Genomic DNA, 5278 nt, shown 5'->3' on the forward strand with positions numbered 1-5278 from the left:
TAAGAGTAATTTATAGAGATATGAAGGTCATTTCCTGACTTAAGTGTGTTCAAGAGATTAGTGAGAGTAAGGAGGAAATAAAACTCTGTAAACAGACAAAATTCTTTCAAAAATTTTTTCTGTAATGGACAAGAGGGAAATTGAACCATAATTGGAGGCAAAGTAAAATAATTTATAAAGTTTTTCAGAAGGAAGAAATATCATTACGTTTATATGTTTATTGGAATGACTCAAAATGAAAGGAAAAATTAATGATGTAGGACAGAAAGAGAAGAAAATTCTTGGGGTAATGATCTTGAGTAGGCAAGACAGGATGAGATCCAGTACACAAGTGGAGTGTTTAACTTTAAACCGTAGATAGGAACAGGAAAAATTCGTCTCTGGTAAGAGCAGGAATACAGACACAGGTAGACGGGCAGTTTTGGTGCTGGCAGCTTATAGGAGATACTTTCTGATTCTTTTACTTTCTTCTTCTTTTCCTCCTCCTTATTCTCCTCCTTTTCCTCTGCCTTCTAGGTAGGAAGCATGGTCATTAGCAGAGAGTAAACATGGGGGAGATAGTGTTGGAAGTTTGAGGAGGTAAAGGTGAGAAGCAGGCCTCTTGGAGAATGGTAGAATTAATAATCTGGGAAATTATAGTCTGATTTCCAAGTAACATTACAACTTCACTTGAAATTTATGGTCATGAATCATACAACTAGACAGCATATTTGTGTGTTCCTTCCACGTTGAAGAAGGACAGTGAATTGGGAACTATTATTTTCAAGAAATTATTGGGAGTGCCTTGGGATTTACAAGTGAGATTGTTTAGGTGTAGTTTGATGATATGAGATTTAAAGCTGAACATTTCAGGAAGATGAAAATATGTTATGGAAGTCACAATAAAGAGCAGTTACCTACCATATGTTTAGACCCAGTAACAGAAGGACTATAGGAGAAAATGATTCACCACTTGAGAGCTGCAGGACAAACAATGGCATCATGAAAATGCTGGGTGTCAGAGAATGAATTTTTTAAAATACTATCCCAAAGTGATTGGTGATACAGGAAATTTTGCTGATGACTTATCTTGAGTTTCAGATGGCAGAATGAGAGTTAAGCAATGGGTCAGGATACAGGATGGATCAGAAAAGATTACATACAAGAGCCATATGGGAATGAGTGCCTAAGTTTGAGGAGCAACTTTGGAGTTCAGTGGCGAGCTGGAGTCAGCTCATAAAAGACTCATACTCTAGCAGCTCACAAGAGCCAAGTGTGAAATTTTCAGGAATCTCATGAACCAGTTACTAAATGTGGTCATTATTCAATGTTAACTTATGTAAACTTATAATTAAATAAACCATGTTAAGAGGAGAAAGAATATTCAAAAGTAATTACTTTCCAATAATGTTACTACATTTTACTGTTATCTATACTCTTGAGGGTTATTTACATCTATTTGATCTGTATGATAGGAATATTATACAGTGGTGAGCTACTGCACACTTCTTCCAAACTCTGTGTTCAGTGATGTCGGTTTGGTTGATTAAAACAGACAATAGCAAGAAATTGATAAATGCAACAGATAAGGCTTTATTCATTGTTTTGTTGATTTTCTAGACTTATAAAAATATGGAGTAAAATTTAATACAGGTGTCTTGTATAGTGCTGAAGTGAAAGAGGTTTCAGTTTAATCAACATAATATTTTTGAGGGTGAGAATTAGTTTAACAGTAGAACACATATGAAATACAAAGAAAATAAATTTATTGGATAATGAGTTAAAGGATTGGGAAGCAATTCCATTTGTGAAATCATGTTTGAATGTCAAACAGAGATAGGCTATATGAAAGCATTTGGCAATAATTGACAAAAGCATTCTATGAAAATCAATTAAGTATGTGGAACTTAAAAAGTATTGTGTTTTTATAATTATTTTTAAATTGTGTATTGCATCTCTTTCTTATTAGTAAAATTTTTATAAACTCTGATATCTATATATCAGATATATATACACACACATATGTGTATATATAATAAAGTATATACACTATTTCAGAGAGATTATATATCAGATATATATACACACATATGTGTATATATATAAGTATGTATATATGTATATGTATATATAGATGTATATATATATATATATATATATATACACACACACACACACACACACACACATACACACACACTATTTCAGAGGGCTTATTATGAAGCATTTACCAGCATACCACTGCCTGGAGCTAACATAAATAGGGGTGACTAATGGTACAACAAAATAGTCCTGGTGATTCAAAGCTAGATAGAGGTGACATGGCTATGAGGATGGAAGCTAGGAAATGTAACAAGAGTTTGGCAGGTATGTCAAGCCTTCTGGGGTTAATGATGCTAGTTGAGATTTGTGGTCCTGCAGGTATCAAATAGGGGGTCCTTACTCCTAAAACAGGGCCTTCTTTTGAATTCTGCAAATAATGGCATGCAGAGAGTCGGTCTTGCTCTGAGACAATTTTTTAAAATTAACATTGTAGATAATTTTGTTTTAGGTATTTATCTTCTTTTAGCATATTAATTGGGTTTTGCTTTGTGTTTCATTATAATAGTATGTTTTAAATAGATTTATTTCACCAATTTCTATTTATAAGTATAACATATATTCGGTTTCAGTTCTGTCATCATATTTTATGTTATACTTCATTTTTTATTGATTTTTTAAAAATCTTCCACTAAATGTTTGACATATTCTGTGTTTCTGTTGATATATTTATATTTTTGTTCCAGTGGCTACATTTAAGTATAACTTTTAGAATATATTATTTTGTTATTTTAGTAATATATATTAATTTACTAAGAACAAAGATAAAATTCATATATTTCCACATCTACATATTCTCATTCTCTCTACCACTCAGTTTTAGTTTATTTTTTATTTTAGTGGTTATACTATAAATACAGATAAATTTCTATAATTTGTTGTGTGAGTTTTAATACATATCTTCTAGTTTCTCCTTCTAAAACATGGAGAAATTAGCATATTTACACTGTCTCCCTGGTTCTCTTTCTCCTCCTGTTGATTTTTGTCCTTTTTATCTTTTTTACTCAGCACACACGTTAAAATATGCAACTATATTATAACCATAATACTTATATTAAGTTTTAGCCTTGTCCTATAGTTAAGTGAGTTAGATTATCACCCTCAGACCCTTCAGTGTAGTTTCTCAAGCCATTTCCTGCCTGAACCTCTCCTGCTAATTTAAGACAGGATTATGGAATCTTTATGTATTCGTTAGGATTCCCTAGAAAAATAGACAAAAGAATGAATGAAAGAAAGAAAGAAAGAGAAAGAAAGAGGAAAGAAAGAAAGAAAGAAAGAAAGAGGAAAGAAAGAAAGAAGGAAAGAGGAAAGAAAGAAAGAAGGAAAGAGAAAGAAAGAAAGAAAGAAAGAAAGAAAGAAAGAAAGAAAGAAAGAAAGAAAGAAAGAAAGAAAGAAAGAAAAAAGAAAAGAAAAGAAAGAAAGTAAGTAAGTACAGGAAATTGGCTCACATGATTATGGTAGATGGCAAGTCTAAGATCTGTAGAGCTCATGTCCCATTTAAGTATGAAGGTTGCTGTAGAACCAGGAGAAGCTGACATTCTGGTGCAAAGGCGTTCAGACAGGAGAATTCTCTCTTACTAGGAGGTGGGTCAAATTTTTATTCTACTTAGGCCTTTGATACGAAGAGACACACCCACATTGTAGAGGACAATTTGCCTCATTCAGTCGATTAATTTAAATGTTAATCTCTTATGCAAATAGGGCTAGGATGAAAAAATTTATTTTCTACCTTAGGTCAAATTAATAAAGAGATTGCAGAAAGCATTGAGGCATAACAGAAGTCTCTAAAATTCCTCAGCTTAAATAGTTTTAGCAAAATTCTTATGTTTTATATAGTTAATTGCTTCAAGTATATACCTAAGACCAAGACTACAGTAGGTTACTGCATAGAATTTATAGGTAACTCAATCTTGTAACCTTGCTTTTTGACTTTGGGTTTTGGCTGCTATGTTGCTTAACAGATTTTAAGGGTTGATTGGTGCCTGCTCACTTCCTTCCTGCTGGGTCTGGAACATTTAATTGGTTGTAAGTCTTTTGACTCTAAATCTCGTGGCCATATGGGTCCCACTGAGGAACAGGATGGACCCAGGGAAGGTAGCCACACTACCTCAACCAAAATATGGGACAAAATACAAGTTTGGTCATTGATGCTGCCTCTAACAAATCCAGGCCAATAGGAGGAAAATGACAAATGAAAATATTAATAAAATTAAGCCCTCCAACTGACTGAAAAAGCCTTCCCTTGGCCAAAGGGACCCCAGAGAAATTTTGAAAACTAAGTTCTCAGCCATGATAAGATAGGAGGTCAGGCATGCCTCATTATACCCTCTCCCTCACTAACTGCCATTAGACTTTCTTCTCTAAGGACTAAACAGAAACCAGCCCTTTCAAAAGACTTTCTGCACTGCTGATTTCAACCAACTACCTGATGCTGCTCCTCTCTTTTGTTACAACTGCACAGCATTTTTGCCTGATAAAAGACTACTAGACACAGAGTGGTTCTGGCCAGTCTATGGAGAATGCACAATAAGGATTTTCATGCCTCTGCTTAATCTTTTGACATCAGAGAGTCCAAAACTCCATGCTGGGATCATGCTAACTACCATTTTTTGTACATGGGACCCATGAAGGGGCATGAAGCTCAATTGCATATGAACCTTTCCTTTTTCATAAATATTCACGACTTCTCCTGTAGCTTATTACATATGTATATTTGGGCACCCCATTCTGAGATAAATTCCCAATCCCTTTGCCCCTTTATTGAAGTGTCTGTTTCTGTTTTCTGACTGGAGGCTATGCTTTCCAGCCTGTCAGAATGGCCACGCTGCAGGCTGTAACCCTTTAAGGGAAATAAAGCTCTATTTTCCAAATTTTTTAAAAATAGCTCTTTTAATAAAATAAATATTAATCTCATTCAAAATTACCCAAACAGAAACACCCAGAATTATGTTAGTCTAAATATTGGGGCATCCTGTGGCCCAGTCAAGTGACATATAAAATAAACCATCATAATACTATATTATCTGAATGTTTTCCTGTTCAAATTTTATTTTTGCTGCATTTAAACATTCTTGAATTGCACTGTAGTTCCTACAGGACTATATAAGTATTTGTCCACTTTTCTCTATCTTTGAAAATTATTCTTAGAAAGTATAAGTTCAGCTTGACATTTTCATTTATAAGTGACTTTGCATATTTT

The sequence above is a fragment of the Homo sapiens genome, chromosome 2 (assembly GCF_000001405.40).
Source record: "Homo sapiens chromosome 2, GRCh38.p14 Primary Assembly".
NCBI classification, from domain to species: Eukaryota; Metazoa; Chordata; class Mammalia; order Primates; family Hominidae; genus Homo; species Homo sapiens.